The sequence below is a fragment of the Homo sapiens genome, chromosome 9 (assembly GCF_000001405.40).
Source record: "Homo sapiens chromosome 9, GRCh38.p14 Primary Assembly".
In the NCBI taxonomy this organism is placed as follows: Eukaryota; Metazoa; Chordata; class Mammalia; order Primates; family Hominidae; genus Homo; species Homo sapiens.
The window spans coordinates 131,417,659-131,434,705 of NC_000009.12; the positions used below are offsets into that span (position 1 = coordinate 131,417,659).

The window sequence follows — 17,047 nt, forward strand, 5'->3', positions numbered from 1 at the left end:
TCATTTTCGGGGGTTGGAAGGATGAGCTGTACAAGCCCTCAGTCTTTCTGCCATGTTTAACCAGAAGCCCCCTGTATTCTAAATAGTGTGTCTGTGAGTTGGATGGAATTGAATTAAGGGCCATCTGTGGGATGTGTGTGCGTGGAGATGCGTGCACAGCCCTCTTTATGTACACGGGTGTGGGAGTATTTTTGTCCGAGCACCACTCGACTGCCTTTTCCCCATGATCGAGCATGACTCTCTTTTTGTGTCAGAACCTCAAGAACTGCCATTTGCTGTGGTCGCTACAGAGCATGGTGAGGCCCAGAGGTAAGGCTGGTTTTGATGTCTGGTCATTGGCACAACCTTCTTACACATATGGAGGGTGAACTTCTCTGTCCTTCCCTCCAGACGCCTTGAGAAAGGGAGTCCAAAGCCCCGGAGGCAGAGAGTTCAGCCAGCTGCAGGGGGTGATGGTGTCACCACCACTATCTGCTGAACTCCTCTGTGCCAAGGAGCATTGCATCAGGGTGCTGGTGGCACACCTGGGGATCATCATCTCTTCCTTCTAAAGCAGCTGTCTGTCTCCACTTTGTCACTGAGAAAACAGTAAGTGCAGGAGGTGACATTTGGCCCCTGGCCCCCTCTTCCTTCTGGAAACTTGTGTGTAGAGAGAGAGCTACTGCCTGCAAAGGGGGTTCATCCTCTATAGGGAGTGTTTGCCCCAGAGAGTGTTTACCTAGAGGTTAGGTGGGAGTTTAGATTCAGCGTTGGTTATTATTTGGGGGATGATAGAACCAATCTTGGTTTTTTTTACCCCCCTGTGTTTTTTTCTGTGAGTCTCTGTGAGGACATAGGGTTTAGGAAGGTGGGGAGGAATGCTTTCTCCTGGGCTGAAGGAAGTCACTTGCTGCCAGAGACAGGCCAGCCTGATTTGTCTTCTTCTTTTGTGCCCAGATTCCAGCTTGCTCCAGGTGACATCATTCCTACAGGGGAAAGGCTTTGGGTGTAAACAATGGCACTGCCGGGCAAGCCAGGGACAGCTGCAGCTGGCTGGGACGTGGCCTTCCTCCTCGGTGTGTGTGTGCTCAGCTCAGCCTTTCTGCCATCCTGAGTTTTCTTTAAAATTATCTTCATAGTTTTAAAAAACAAATAGCAAATCTGTTTGGAATTAATACACAGTGTTTTATGACCCTTACTGCTGAATTCTTTTGAAATGGGAAGTCAAAACACAGTAGAACACGGGCGAGGCAGATGATTAGTATTGCAGCGTGACAGCACCTGGAATTTAAGTGGCTCATGCTGGTGAAGAGAGATCCAGGGATCTAATCTGGGAGCTGGTTTAGGGATGATACTTTTCTGTAATTTTTTTTAAGATTTACAGTTTTTCTGTATCAAGCGTATATTTCTTTTGTTACTAAAAATGTGATGGAGAAATAAATGAGCAGTACTGGGATTATCCACTTCCATAAGGCCATCTATTGTAACATCAGAGGGTGACTGCAGTAAATAGCTACGTTTATTGCCCCAAAGTGGGAAGCCTTGAAACTGGGGCAGTTTAGTGTGGTTTAAATTAGTCACAGTAGAGTGTTTATCTCAAGAGGGTTTTCTGAGAATCTCCCTGCATCTCTGTCTTCCTGAGAATTAAAGGGGTCCACTAGCAGATCCTAAACACCTGGGAGTTTGTCCTCATGGTGTTTGAAGGTCTGCTCTCTGTACCAGCACCCTTAAACTGTGACACTTAAACTGTGACACACCAACGTGGGGACGGGTCCCCAGTGCACAGGAGGAGGTAGAAGCACAGGTGCCTGGTCTACCCAGCACCACCCAGAGCAGCCCTGCTGGGGAACGGAGGCTTCCCTGGCTGCATAGGAGTCTGGAGAGATGAGCACTGTCAAAAGCTGATAATTGGGTGGGCTGGAGAGAGAACAAGAGCAGAACCACGGTGAGGTGACAGCCGCCATTGGTCGAGTGCCTGCTGAGGACAAGTGCTGGGTCAAGTGCGGGGGTCTTTGTTCTCTTGTTTATTCCTTACAGCAGACCTGGGAGGTGGGAGATTAACATGGTATGTTCATCTTAATCCACGAGGAAATAGACCTCAAGTCACAGTGTGGAGTGGAGGCGAGATGCAAACCCAGTGTTTCAGATTTGAGACTGCCGGGGGTGGTGTGGGGAGAAGGCTGGGTGGCGGCGTGGGGCCAGCATGTTGGGCCGGGGGGGTCTGGACTTGACCCTGGCGCGGTGGGGGGTGATGTGGAAGGTGTGTGAGCAGGTGCTCCCCGTGGTCTGTGTTGCTGTGTGAGCCGTGGCTCTGGTGGAGGGGACCCAGCTGACCATGTGGTTCCGGCAAGGGGCTTGCAACTAAGTGCTGGAGAACCCCCCAGTTCTCCACTGGGGGTGGGGAGTGCTTCTTGTGTCCTCACCATACGCCTCAATGCTTCTTTGTTTTTCCTTTCCTCTTATTTTAAATTTGTTGCTTCCTATATATGCTGTCTCCTTGGGGTGCGTGGTCTTCTGGGGATGGCTCATGTCTCCCATAAGGAACACTGGGTTACCAGGAACCCCACTTTCCCCACTCTGTGGTTTCCTCAAACCTTATTTTCAGGCTGTTTATTCTTGGAGAGTTTGTGCAGTGTTCTGCAGGGACCTCACCCATTTGGGCTTCTGCAGGTAGAATGCCTGGATTGTGCTATAGCTGAGCCCAGCCTTCAGCTTTCCAGATGAGCCAGTGCCTCGCTCTTAGGGAACAGAAATGTGGGCGCTTTAGGGCTCTTTGAAAGCCACCTCTGCTTTTCTTTTTTCTTTTTCTTTTTCTTTTTCTTTCTTTCTTTCTTTCTTTCTTTCTTTCTTTCTTTCTTTTTTTTTTTTTTTTTGAGATGGAGGCTCCCTCTGTCGCCCAGGCTGGAGTGCAGTGCATGATCTCGGCTCACTGCAACCTCCACCTCTTGGGTTCAAGTGAGTCCTGTCTCAGCCTCCTGAGTAGCTGGGATTACAGGCATGCACTACCACGCCCAGCTAATTTTTGTATTTTCAGTAGAGTCAGGGTGTCGCCATGTTGGCCAGGCTGGTTCCGAACTCCTGACCTCAGGTGCACCTCAGCCTCCCAAAGTGCTAGGATTACAGGTGTGAACCGCCACACCTGGCCTACCCTTGCTTTTCTGACAGTGCCACGTAGGGAGCCTCTGCAAGCTGGAGGTGTGGTGGGGGTTGGGTTAGGCTGTCATCGAGTGAGGCAGCAGAAGTGTCCCCTCAAACCCACCTGGTTCCCCCACCCTGATATGCACACAAGTTCATCATCATCTTGCAATGTATTCATGTCCATACTTTACCCTCTGAACCAGAAGGCAGCAAACTGCAACCCCGATTGCAGCCCACCTCCTGTTTTTGTAAATATGGCTATTCTCTTTTATGTATTGTCTGGGGCTACTTCCATGCTACGACGACAGCCTCAGGCAGAGTTGAGCAATTGCAGCAGAGAGCTCTGTGTGGCCAGCAAAGCTGAGTACATTTACTGTCTGGCCCTTTACAGACAAACTTTGCAGATCTCTCCTGCTGCAGGAGTGCAGGGTGGAGTCTCCTGTCTCCATGTCCCCAGCACCAAGTGACACAGGGTCTGGCACACACATTGGTCAGTAAACGTTTGAGTATTTGAAGTAGGTGAGGTCGCCTTACTTACGTTAAAGGTTTTTTTGCCAGACATTGATTGGTGTGTTGGGGAAAGATAGACTTCTTTCATCTTGTCCCTGGATTTCGTGGTGATGGTTCTTGGCTGAGACTTAACAAGTAAACTGTCCAGTGGCCACGTCCTTTTCTGGCCCACATTGTTACTTCCTGAAGCGTTTATCCAGCCTGCTATCAATTTCCATGCCTGTGGAATCATGATTTTTGGTATGTTTTGTCTAGCAGTGGGATCTTTCCGTTCGTTCTATAAAGAGACATTCCACCTTTCTCTCTCACTGCCCCCAGCCTCACGGCCAGGGCACGTTGCAGCACTCATTGTGTCCCCCTGAGGTCGGGCCTTGGGCCTTTGTCACTATTGTGAGTGGAGGAAAGAGCCATGAAATCTCTAGGTGCCCACATGTGAAGAGTGAAGTGACTGGATTTGCCTTGGGTGAGAATCTGGCTGTTGGTGGCATGGCGTAAATAAAATGCTTGTTTTTGAAGCTGTCCAGGATCATCATCTGTACAGTTGGCCAGAAAGCAGCTGTTGAGCCTGGGCTGACTTATATCAGAACCCATTGTGCCGCCTTTCGTGTCTGCACCGGTACTCCCACTGGGAAAGCAGATTCCAGGTCGTGGGGCATTCAGTCTGCAGCCTGGTGGCGTCCAGTGCAGCCTGGGCTCCAAGCCTGGCCCTGCACTCGGCAGCCTTGTGACCTTGGGTGCGTTACTTTTCTTTTCTTTCTTTCTTTTTTTTATTTTTTTATTTTATTTTAAGATGGGTGTCTCACTCTGTTCCCAGGCTGGAGTGCAGTGGCATGATCTTGGCTCACTGCAACCTCTGCCTCCCGGGTTCAAGCGATTCTCCTGCCTCAGCCTCCCGAATAGCTGGGATTACAGGCGCGCGCCACCATGCCCAGCTAAATTTTGTATTTTTAGTAGAGACGGGGTTTCACCATGTTGGCCAGCATGGTCTCGATCTCTTGACCTTGTGATCCACCCACCTTGGCCTCCCAAAGCACTGGGATTACAGGCGTGAGTCACCCGCATCCTGCCGGGTGTGTTACTTTTCTATCCTGATTGACTGAACCTTAATGTCCTTCTCTGTCAAACAGGCAGTAGTATCTTCCAGAAAGTGCTGTTATGAAGGGGAGTAGAGCACATGAGGGCTTAGCAGGGTGCCTGGCCCTTGAAGTGCTGGTGGCCACTGATCTCCCCTGAATGCGGAGCCGTAGTGGTTCCTGGTGAATGACAGGTCATCCCAGTGCCCTGGTCAGGCATCTGACACTGGCTGGCACTCAAGTGTGGAGTGAAATTAATCCTGTTACCCGGAAATGGCTTTTGATAAATTAATTACAGGGCAGAGATGTTCCCTCTGGTGGACAGATAGCAGGAACCTGTTGGACAGGCGGGCACTGTCTGGAGAGGCGGGGCTTGGATGTGAAGTTGCCGTTGTTGGCGAATCTTTCTGGTTGTTTTTGTTCCAGCACAGCCTGGGAGCACTTCTTTAGATTATGTGCCAAAATATGCAACCTGGATTCTTTTTCAATGTTCTTTTCTCCATTGATTTGTTCCCAAATCTATCTTCATATGGGTTTTAGGCCCCTTTTTCATCTGCCTAATGGCAATATTTTCTTTTAGGCTGGCAAGTTTCAGAATGCTCTAGCTCCCCGTGGCAGTGTCTCTGAGTGGCTTCTGTGGGAAAGGAGGGCTTACAGCAAGGGGGCACATAGGCTGGACTTCTTTCCAGCAGGCATCATTGGGTTGTGTCTGCTTCATATGTCATACTGAGGTTCCAAGTCAGATTCTGTTGGAGAGAAAACGAATTCTGTTGCCTACAGAAGGGAGAGAAGGTGAGGTAAAGCCGTGGCCATAAGCCAGGTTTGACTTATGCTAACCTGCGAGGACTTGGTGCGTCTATGCCGGGTCTAGTCCCACAGACCTAGGGGTGAGTCAGAGCTGGATGGAAATGCCTCAGACCCGCTGGAGAGCTGTTCTCTTGCCTCAGCCGGCTTCCTGCTTCACACTTGGATGCTCACCGGTGCTTTCTCCCTGCCTCCGGATAGGCTAGTTTAGCTTGGGGTATGCATGTGTGTTGATGGATGGAAACTCGGCAGGTATTTGAAGCCTGGTAAAGCCCTGCTAACAGCGCCCTGGCCTGATGTTTGTGAAAAGCAGCTGGCAAGCAGTGGGGCCAGATGCTTGTGGGCGGGGCCAGCCTCGCACTCAGCCGGTCAGTGGAGATCCCTGCAACGGGAGGAAATCCGAATGATTCTGGTTTATTTTGGAGTTGTGTCCAGTGAAAGATCTCCTGACTGCCGTAAAGCAGGTGTGTATACACAAACTTTGTAAAGGACCAGGCAGTAACTGTTCTGGGCTTTGTGGGCCATAGATGGCCTCTTGCTTATTTCTCTTCAGGCTGCCGGCCCCTGCTCTGATGGAACGTTGAGGCTGGAAGATTCTCCACTTGTGCAGTCTTCACTGTGGAGAGTGTAATTGTCCTCGTAGGGGCTGCTTTCATTCACTGCAGCAGTGACTCGCCTGGTTCCTTGTTGGTATCCCAAGTTTATATAGGAAAATAGGATCCAATCCCAGGCTTGTAAGAGGTGGCTGATTCCACAGTAAGCCATTTCTTTCTGCTACGTTTTTTTTTTTTAGACAGATTTTTCCCTCTGTCGCCCAGGCTGTAGTGCAGTGGCCCAATCTCCGTTCACTGCAACCTCCACCTCCCAGGCTCAAGCAGTTGTCCTGCCTCAGCCTCCCCAGTGGCTGGGATTACAGGCGTGCATCACCACGCCCAGCTAATTTTTTTAAATATAGTTTTAGTAGAGACAGAGTTTTACCATGTTGCTCAGGCTGGTCTTGAACTCTTGGGTTCAAGTGATCCGCCTGCTTCAGCTCCCCAAAGTGCTGGGATTACAAGCGTGAGCCCCGGCGCCTGGGTAGTAAACCATTATTTCTGTGGCTGTCAGTTGTCAACATTGATGGGCTTGATTTTAGGGTCAGTGCTTGTCTAGGCCACTCCTTCAGTAGATGAGGAAACAGGTCTAGAGAGGCCAATAGCGTGCCCAACAAGTGCAAAACTTGGTTAAAAGGTTGGGGGCACTGGCTGGGTGTGGTGGCTCACGCTTGTAATCCCAGCACTTCAGGAGGCCAAGGTGGGCGGATAACTTGAGGTTAGGAGTTTGAGACAAGCCTGGCCAACATGGTGAAACCCTGTCTCTACTAAAATACGAAAATTAGCTGGGCGTGGTGGCGCGCACCTGTAATCCCAGCTACTCGGGAGGCTGAGGCTGGAGAATCACTTGAACCTGGGAGGCAGAGGTTATAGTGAGCCAAGATTGTGCCACTGCACTCCAGCCCGGGCGACAGTGTGAGCCTCTGTCTCAAAAAAAGAAAAGAAAAGAAAAGATGGAGGGCATTAAAGAAAACATTGTACAAGCAGGTTAAGTGCAGATGTTAGTCCAATGTGTTTCTTGTACTGGCTTCACCAAGGCTCTGTGATTGGAAGGGGTGGAAAACATTTCACCTGGAACACAGAAGGTGCCCAGTTAATATTTGTTGGGTGGTTGAATTTACTGGGAGGACATAGTTCAAGGAATAGTTGTAGACAGACTGACATCTCGTAAACACAATTCTAAATTTCTAGGAGAGTGTCTCATGTTTGGGCGAGGTTTTTTGTTTTTTGAGATGGATTCTCACTCTGCTGCCCAGGCTGGAGTGCAATGGCGCAATCTTGGCTCACTGCAGCCTCTGCCTCCTGGGTTCAAGTGATTCTGCTGCCTTCAAGTGATTCTCCTGCTTTAGCCTCCCGAGTAGCTGAGATTACAGGCGTGCACCACCATGCCTGGCTCCTTTTTGTATTTTTAGTATAGACGGGGTTTCACCATGTTGGCCAGGCTGGTCTTGAACTCCTGACCTCAGGTGATCCTCTCGCCTCGGCCTCCCAAAGTGCTGGGATTACAGGCGTGAGCTACCACGCCTGACCTGAGCAAGGTTTTTTTCCTTTTGTTGCCACTAGGGTATGGGGAAGTATGAATCAAACCTTCTCAGAGAAGTGTGGTGTGTGCCAGGTAGTTACACTGAGAGCTGTGTGTGTCCATTCTACCCTTTTCCCTCAGGCCTGGTCAGCACAGAGTCAGAGAAAGTAGAGGCCAGGGCAAACAGCTTTTAAGAGGACTTTTGTTGTTGTTGTTGTTGTTGTTTTTTGAGATGGAGTTTCGCTCTGTCACCCAGGCTGGCGTGCAGTGGCGCGATCTCAGCTCACTGCAAGCTCCCCTTCTGGGTTCATGCCATTCTCCTGCCTCAGTCCCCCAAGTAGCTGAGACTGCAGGCGCCTGCCACCACGCCAGGCTCATTTTTTTTGTATTATTAGTAGAGATGGGGTTTCACCGTGTTAGCCAGGATGATCTCGATCTCCTGACCTCGTGATCACCCGCCTCAGCCTCCCAAAGTGCTGGGATTACAGGCGTGAGCCACCATGCCTGGCCCCCGAGGACTTTTTAAGTAATATTTATATAAACAAATGTATTTCTGGTCAGTTTTCAGAATTAAATGACATTTTAGCTGGGCATGGTGGTTCACGCCTGTAATCCCAGCTACTTGGGAAGCTGAGGCAGGTGAATCGCTTGAACCTAGGAGGCAGAGGTTGCAGTGAGCCGAGATCATGCCACTGCACTCCACCCTAGGTGACAGAGTGAGACTCCGTCTCAACAAAAAGAAAAAAAATCACATTTGATTTAAGAAATCATTCGATGTTGCCAGGCACGGTGGCTCATGTCTTTAATCCCAGCACTTTGGGAAGCTGAGGTGGGTGGATCACTTGAGGCCAGGAGTTTGAGACCAGCCTGGGCAACATGATGAAATCTTGTCTCTACTGAAAATACAAAAATTAGCCAGGTTTGGTGGCACACACCTGTAAGCCCAGCTACTCAGGAGGCTGACACAGGAGAATTGCTTGAATCTGGGAGGTGGAGGTTGCAGTGAGCTAAGACGGTGCCACTGCACTCCAGCCTGAGCTACAGAAAGAAACTCTGTCTCAAAAAAAAAAAAAAAAAAAAAAAGAAAAAGAAAAAAAGAAGAAGAAGAAAGGAAAATCATTCAATGTGAAATCTTGCCATGCCTTTCTTTTTCTTGAGACAGGATCTCGCTCTGCCCTCAAGAGGCTTGCAATCTAGCCCACGGAACGATGCTCTTATTAATTATGACTTTTGGGGAGTGGGACAGCAACTCCCTGGACCTAGCCTCAGGGAGGGAGATTTAAAATGGCCCATGGACCCCAGGGCAAGGAAGCAGCCAGGTCATGGGCACCGCAGTCAGGATTGGGCACGTGGGACTGACTCCCATTCTGAGCATTGGTGCCCTTTGCTCCAGTGCAGGAGGTGAGCTCTGGGGAGGGCTGCTGGGGTCAAGCAGCTGCTGGCAGGTAACTTGGGGGCAGTGAGTGCTTGGAAGCACTTTTGCTGGTATGTTTCTTCATTGTGCCAGACTCTCTTACGCCCTCTAGTACATTCAGCATCCTTGGGCTTGGCCACTGAATGTGGGCAGCAGTCCCATCATTGTGACATCAAAAATGCTCCTGCACATTTGCAAACACCCTGGTATTCCTTGGCCCATGGCAGCAGCTGAATAAACTGGGATTTGGGTGAGGGAAGGGAGTTAAGTAACCAACCAGCATGGCTGAAGCCATGTGGGGCGGAGAGGAGAATTTCCTTGAAGAAGGGCACAGTGTCGGCCCCTGGTTGTGTCCCCTGCTCACACAGATCGGACGTAGGACCGCTTATCCCTCGGCATCCATCTTCCTGCGTTCTTCATGAGCATTTCTTGATACGAATTGCATGCGGATCTGTCCCTCAGTGATTGGCAGATCTTAGGTATCAGTCAATACCTGTTAAATGAATGAAAGGATGGTTTGCGCACTTGCGTGTTTGACACGGCACCAGCTCAGTCAGCGTCTTTTGTCTCACTTTTTTTGGCCCCTGTTTGTAATCGATTTTCACTCCCTATGTTTCATTTGGATCATAATATAGTTGTGTGTGTGTGTGTGTTTTTTTGATGGAGTCTTGCTCTGTTGCCCAGGCTGGAGTGCAGTGGTGCGATCTCAGCTCACTGCAAGCTCTGCTTCCCGGGTTCACGCCATTCTCCTGCCTCAGCCTCACGAGTAGCTGGGACTACAGGCGCCCACCACCACGCCTGGCTAATTTTTTGTATTTTTAGTAGAGAAGGGGTTTCACCGTGTTAGCCGGGATGGTCTCGATCTCCTGACCTAGTGATCTGCCTACCTCAGCCTCCCAAAGTGCTGGGATTACAGGAGTGAGCCACCGCACCTGGCCCATAATATAGAGTTTTATCTTTAAAATCATCCTTTGGGGTACAGATTGCCCCCCACCACATCGCATGTGTTCCTCCTGGCCTGCATGGTGTCAGAACAAGATGGTGAAATGGCAAACCTTGCTTCCGCAGCTACCACCAAGTGCCTTTTACCAGTCAGTGGTAAAATGGGGAATTATAGTTGTTGCCATTATGTCATTGAGGACATGTTAAACATATGCCTTAATTATTGCTTTAGCTTTGTTTTCCAGTGAGAAGTGATGATCACTTATACAAGTGTTTTATTTTTTTGTTGTTTTTGTTCTTGTTGTTGAGATGGAGTCTTGCTCTGTCACTCAGGCTGGAGTGCAATGGCACAATCTCGGCTCACTGCAACCTCTGCCTCCTGGGTTCAAGTGATTCTTCTGCCTCAGCCTCCTGAGTAGCTGGGATTACAGGTGTGCACCACCATGCCCAGCTAATTTTTGTATTTTTAGTAGAAACGGGGTTTCACCATGTTGGTCAGGCTGGTCTTGAGCTCCTGACCTCGTGATCCACCCACCTCGGCCTCCCAAAGTGTTGGGATTATAGGCGTGAGCCACCGTGCCCGGCCTACAAGTTTTGTTTTTTAAGAGATAGGATCTTGCTCTGTTGCTCGGGCTGGAGTACAGTGGCCTGATCATAGCTCACTGCAGCCTCAAGCTCCTGGGCTCAAGTGATCCTCCTGCCTCAGCCTCCTAAGTACCTGGGGCTACAGGTGCATGCCACCATGCCCTGCTAATTATTTTTATTTTTATTTATTCATTTTGAGATGTAGTCTCCCTCTGTCACCCAGGCTGCAGTGCAGTAGGGCAATCTCAGCTCACTGCAACTTCTGCCTCCCGGCTTCAAGCAATTCTCATGTCTCAGCCTCCTGAGTAGCTGGGATTATAAGCATGCACCACCATCTCTGGCTAATTTGTGTAATTTTAGTAAAGATGGGGTTTCACCATGTTGGCCAGGCTGGTCTCAAACTCCAAACCTCAGGTGATCTGCCCACCTCAGCCTCCCAAAGTGTTGGGATTATAGGTGTGAACCACCATGCCCGGCCTATTTTAATTTTTTTAGACACAGTGTCTTGCTGTGTTGACCAGGCTGGTCTCAAACTCCTGGCTTCAAGCAGTCCTCCCACCTCAGCCTTCCTGAGTAGCTGGGATTATAGGCATGAGCCACTGAGCCCATCAAGTGTTTGGTTTTTGGTAAGGAAGCTTAGAACCTATTGCCAAGGTTGGGTATGGAATAAAAAGCAGTGAAGCTCTTAGTCCTCAGTGCCTGGCACACAGGCCCTTGGTCGGCACTTAGTATTTGTTTTTGTTGTGTTTTTTTTTAAGATGCAGTCTCGCTCTGTCGCCTAGACGGGAGTGCAGTGGTGCAATCTTGACTCACTGCAGCCCAGGTTCAAGCAATTCTCCTGCCTCATCCTCCTCAGTAGCTGGAATTACATATACCTGCCACCATGCCTGGCTAATTTTTGTGTTTTCAGTAGAGACAGGGTTTCGCCATGCTGGCCAGGCAGGTCTCGAACTCCTGACCTTAAGTGATCTGCCCACCTTAGCCTCCCAAAGTGCTGGGATTACAGGCGTGAACCACCACGCCCAGCCAGGCGCTTAGTATTTTGAGTGAGTGAGTGAGTGAGTGAGTGAGTGAGTGAACTGATGAGGAGAGCACTAGTAGACTCATGGACACCTGTAGCACATTAGAAAGTGGCAGAGGAGGGAAGCTTCTTTCTTGGAGGGCTTTTCAAGGTTGTCTCTTCAAAGGGGCAAGTGCGGATGGCATAGCCCCCATGTGGTCTCTCCCTTGCTAGCCCTGGGGAGTTCTTGCTTTCTGTTTTCCATGTGTGTAGCTTAGAGAGCCCTTTTGTTGCCTAAGCAGATGTTTTCTCTCTGGGTACTAGTTGTTTATTTTGAAAAGTGTATATACTTGATTATTTCTGAAGGATAATACTCTGGCTGCCCTCCTTTGATTTGGTTTTGCTTGCCCTTGAGATGAACAGCCGTGGTGTAAGTGGGTTGTGTACCTCCCCTATTCTGCTAGCCTTATTTTCAGTGTTATACATGGATGTGTTAAAGTACTGAGCATTTATTTTTCCATCTTGAGCTGTCCTTGACTTGGAGAGGGCTCTGTTGAAGTTTACATGTCAGTGTGGTTGGTGTGCAGTAGACTCCAGCCAACTCAGAGTGAGAGGAATTAACAGCAGGTGGGGGTTGGGGGGGTACTCCACAGATCGCCTCGGGGTGTCTACATAAATGCCCTGTAAATGTGAATGAACAGCCTGTGGGTGGTGAGAGCAGTTTTCTAAGGACAGTCCAAAGCCATCTTCAGATCTTCAAGGAGATCCATGATTCGTGAAGGATTCACTCCTCTGGATCAGAGGTTCTGCTGTAGTGACACTCTTTTTTTTTTTTCTCTCTCTTTTTTTTTTTTTCTTCTCTATTTCAAAGGCAGATCGGGAGCGGTGCCGAGAAAAATTTCCTTACTAGATGACATTTCATCGCAATGTCCGATCGTTTGGGGCAAATTACCAAGGGCAAGGATGGGAAAAGCAAGTACTCGACTCTCAGCCTGTTTGATAAGTATAAAGGAAAATCAGTAGACGCGATTAGATCCTCAGGTAAGGCCCAGGGTTGAAGGCCAGTTCCTCAAACTTTCTCCGAGTGACATATCCCAGAAACCCAGAGTCCCTCACCTGGTTAGACAGATGTGGTCCGTGCACACCAGGCTTCTGGGTGTGCATGTAGAATCACTCTCTACTTCCTACTTGAGGTATGATTTCAGAGCCTTGAGCATCCTGACTCTTTCTGTAGTGGAATTTTCTCCATCTATTACCTTATTGAAGCTGGGGAGATATATCTATAGATATCTATAGATAGATAGATAGATATCTATCTATAGATATCTATAGGTGTGTGTGTATGTGTGTGTGTGTGTGTGTGTGTGTGTGTGTGTGTATATATATGTTTTGGAGACAGAGTCTCACTCTGTCACCCAGGCTGGAGTTCAGTGGCATGATCTCAGCTCATTGCAACCTCCACCTTCTGGGCTCAAGCGAGTCTCTTGCCTCAGCCTCCCGAGTAGCAAGGATTACAGATGTGTGCCACCACGCCCAGCTAATTTTTGTATTTTTAGTAGAGATGGGGTTTCCCCATGTTAGTGAGGCTGGTCTCAAACTCGTGACCTCAGGTGATCCACCCGCCTCGGCCTCCCAAAGTGCTGGGATTACAGGTGTGAGCCACTGTGCCTGGCCAAAGCTGTGGATTTTTATCCTGATGGGTAGAATGGGACTTAATAGGCATTAGTGTTATCCTTTTTTTTTTTTTTTGAGACACAGTTTCGCTCTTATTGCCCATGCTGGAGTGCAATGGCGTGATCTCAGCTCAGTGCAACCTTCACCTCCTAGGTTCAAGTGATTCTCCTGCCTCAGCCTCCTGAGTAGCTGGGATTACAGGCATGTGCCACCACGCCCGGCTAATTTTGCTTTTTGTTTTTTGTTTTTCTTTTTTGAGACGGAGTCTCACTCTGTCATGCAGGGTGGAGTGCAGTGGTGTGATCTTGGCTCACTGTAAGCTCTGCCTCCCGGGTTCACGCCATTCTCCTGCCTCAGCCTCCCAAGTAGCTGGGACGACAGGCGCCCACCATCATGCCTGGCTAATTTTTTGTATTTTTAGTAGAGACGGGGTTTCACCGTGTTAGCCAGATCGGTCTTGATCTCCTGACCTCGTGATCGGCTTGCCTCGGCCTCCCAAAGTGCTGGGATTACAGGCGTGAGCCACCGTGCCCAGCCTAATTTTGTATTTTTAATAGAGATGGGGTTTCTCCATGTTGGTCAGGCTGGTCTCGAACTCCCGACCTTAGGTGATCCACCCACCTCGGCCTCCCAGGGTGCTGGGATTACAGGCATGAGCCACTGCGCCTGGCCAGTGTTATCCTTAATAAAGAATTTTTTTTTTTTTTTGAGACGGAGTCTCACTCTGTTGCTCAGGCTGGATGGAGTGCAGTGGCGCAATCTCGGCTCACTGCAAGCTCCACCTCCTGGGTTCACGCCATTCTTCCGCCTCAGCCTCCTGAGTGGCTGGGACTACAGGCGCCCGCCATCACTCCCGGCTAATTTTTTGTATTTTTAGTAGAGACAGGGTTTCACCGTGTTAGCGAGGATGGTCTCGATCTCCTGACCTCGTGATCCGCCCGCCTCGGCCTCCCAAAGTGCTGAGATTACAGGCATGAGCCACCGCGCCCGGCCATCCTTAAAGAATTTTTTAAATTTTGTTTTAAAATTTATTTATTTATTTAGAGACTGGGTTATGAGACTGGCTAATTTTTGTATTTTTAGTAGAGACAGGGTTTTGTCACATTGCCCAGGCTGGTCTCGAACTCCTGGGCTCAAGCGATCTACCCACCTCGGCCTCCCAAAGTGCTGCAATTACACGTGTGAGCCACCACGCCTGGTGTGTTATCAGCCTTTTTAGCTTTCATGGTTCTTGATATTCTAGAACTTGTTGGAAAGGTTCTTGTTGATCCTTTTCACACCCCATGAAGACTTCATGAATGTCGAAGGGCTCCTGTTCAGTCTTGTTTTGGATCTAGGCAGAGGCTGTCCCTTTAGTCCTGTAATGAGACCAGAGCTGTCTCAACTTGCAGAGAGGTGGTTCCTCTGTAAGCTGGAGGTTCCTGGGCCTGTCTCCTCACCCATGTTGTAAAGTCTGCGAGCCTTGTCCTGCCCATCAGTGAAATGGAAGCCTTTTTACAGGTTTTAGCAGCTCCTTTGTCCCTGTAGTCTTCAGTGAAGAGCTTGTAAAGTGACTAAAGTGACACCAAACACTTGTTTGTCCCACTGCTGGTCTGCCCTTTGTTTTTTGTTGGGTTAGCTTTGTTATGATCACTTAGAGATTGAAAGAACAGCTGAATGCATCAGGCTTCTTTCCTTCTGTGACCTTTTTGCATGGTGTCTGTTCCATGTCCCTCTCCCTGCAGTTATTCCTAGACATGGCTTACAGAGTCTTGGGAAAGTTGCTGCAGCCCGGCGCATGCCACCGCCTGCAAACCTGCCAAGCTTGAAGTCTGAAAACAAAGGAAACGACCCCAACATCGTGATAGTACCCAAGGACGGGACGGGATGGGCAAACAAGCAGGATCAGCAAGACCCAAAGAGGTAAACGGAGGAGGCGGGTGGTGAGTGGGAGCTGGCGCTCCAAGGGTGGTCCCGGCATCCTTCCCTGTGGCAAACTAACCCTAACCCTTTGGCTACTGCAGCGCTAGTCTTGCAGTGGCAGAATTGGAACACTGGGAGATGCAAATGAAGCTGCTTCCTCTCTGGCCCTGGTGCTTCGTATGTTTCTTTTTCCCTGCCTTCATTTTTTCTGGCTTTTAGAGCCGATGGAGCAGCACATCTGTGGACAACCTTGTCCCCAGTGACCACTTTCCCCCTGTGCCTTATTAGGAAAGGCCTCATCACCCCAGAGGAGCTTATGCAATGACTCAGAGCCAATTCCTGTAAGAAACACTGTGGACAGAGCTGGGGCTTGAGGACTTCATTCCTGGTGATGGGTGTCCCTGTGAGCTGAGCTCTGCAGAGAATCATGCAGCTTCCCTAACCATCGGCCCAGCAGCTTCCCAGACAGAGGAGACTTCTGCTGTTGCTCTAAACAGACCTAGTCATCAGTGAGAACAGCACAGAATCCTCCAGGATCACTGTACTGCAGCCTCCCTGGAGGCTCACCTCCTGCCAGCACAGTACTTACAGAAACCCTAGGGGGCAGAGGGTGGCATGGTGCTGTCAATCAGAGAAACAGCCCCTGTGTGGTGGGCTGAAAACACAGGGCCTGGCTGCCTGGGGCCCACTTGGATGGCTGCACCTTTGTCTCCTGCTGCAAGTCCTCTCTGAGTGTTTAGCCAGTGCTAAGACAATTCAGGGAAGGGGATGTGTTCAGGGAGGGACAGGGCCTTGCTGAGGCTGGCAGGCAGAAATCTGCTGCTGGGGTTTGCCTGTTAAGGAATGTGAACAAAGCTGTCTGGCGGCAGCGCCCTCCTGGCCTGCATCTCTGGTGGCCTCCCTGCTGATGTAGGAAACCAGACGGTAAAAGGGACCCAGATCTCAGCCTGCTGACCCCAGCATCCTTTTCTTACAAGTCTGTGCTAGAAATGACCATGGTAGCTTTTGTAAAATTGTTGCCTGTATTTACTTCAGACAGGATGTAGAGAGTGAGCTAGTTTAGTTATTCAGCTAGATGATTATAAAGTAGTAATCAAAATAGGGCCTTAGAAGTTATTTTTAAAACATTTCTAAGAGTTTGCTTAGGGATCATATTGATGGACAGTATAGCATGACTTTTGAAATCTACCAGCCCTAAGTGGTTTCCAGCTAGACCACTTATTAGCTTGATGGAACCTGGAGAATTGTTTGACTTCTGAGCCTCAGTGTCCCCCCCTTGAAATAGGAATGATACCTGGCTTTGCTGGTGGTTACACGGTATCCATGAGGCATTGATGGGCTAGCATAGGTCAAGTGCTTAGCCTAAACCTGGCACAGAGGAGGGGCAGATATTGGCTGCTGTCATCATTCCATTCAAATGGTACTCATTCCATTCACACCATGAGCTCTGGAACGAAATGGATATTGCACATTTTAATGGAAGGACTGAAATCCTCTGCACCACCAAAAGTTCTAGAGAGGACAAAGCATTACTCCCTCCTGTTATCCAGCCTTTACTCTGCCTTTGCGGCTCCAGTGAGGGCTAGTTGTGCTGGAGCACGTCCGCCAGGGAAGAGGTGAGGATGGAGTGTTGGTGAGGGCATAGACCCCCGTGTAGTTCTCTGCTGCCCCAGGCCACATCCTCCCACCAAGGTATCAGGTGGCAAGTGGGCCCACAACGTGGGGACTCAGTGCTTAGTTTTGGAGAACACAAAAGTGCGACTACTTGGAAGCTTCTCTTTTAGGTAGAAGGAGATGTAAGAACCCGATCAGTAGCCTTCTGTTTGTAATAATCACGAATGGTGAGTTGCCTGGGTCAGGTGAATCTTGGAAGAGGGTGTCTGTATAGAGTTTGGCTTCCATTTACAGATA

At 49.4% G+C, this 17,047-nt stretch overlaps 1 protein-coding gene across 5 annotated transcripts in view; it reads left to right on the forward strand.

The window, feature by feature from the left end:
- Positions 1–17,047, forward strand: part of PRRC2B (proline rich coiled-coil 2B) — a 126,543-nt gene that overhangs the window by 44,008 nt on the left and 65,488 nt on the right. For 3 of the 5 annotated variants that reach the window (NM_001384822.1, NM_013318.4, NM_001384821.1), the window contains exons 2-3: positions 12,436–12,601; positions 14,959–15,136. In NM_001384822.1, coding sequence (NP_001371751.1) covers positions 12,487–12,601; positions 14,959–15,136 — 293 coding nt within the window. In that variant the 5' untranslated portion in view covers positions 12,436–12,486. Of the gene's footprint in view, positions 1–12,431; positions 12,602–14,958; positions 15,137–17,047 lie in introns of all 5 variants that reach the window. The other 2 variants (NM_001384818.1, NM_001384823.1) reach the window with 1 other exon arrangement.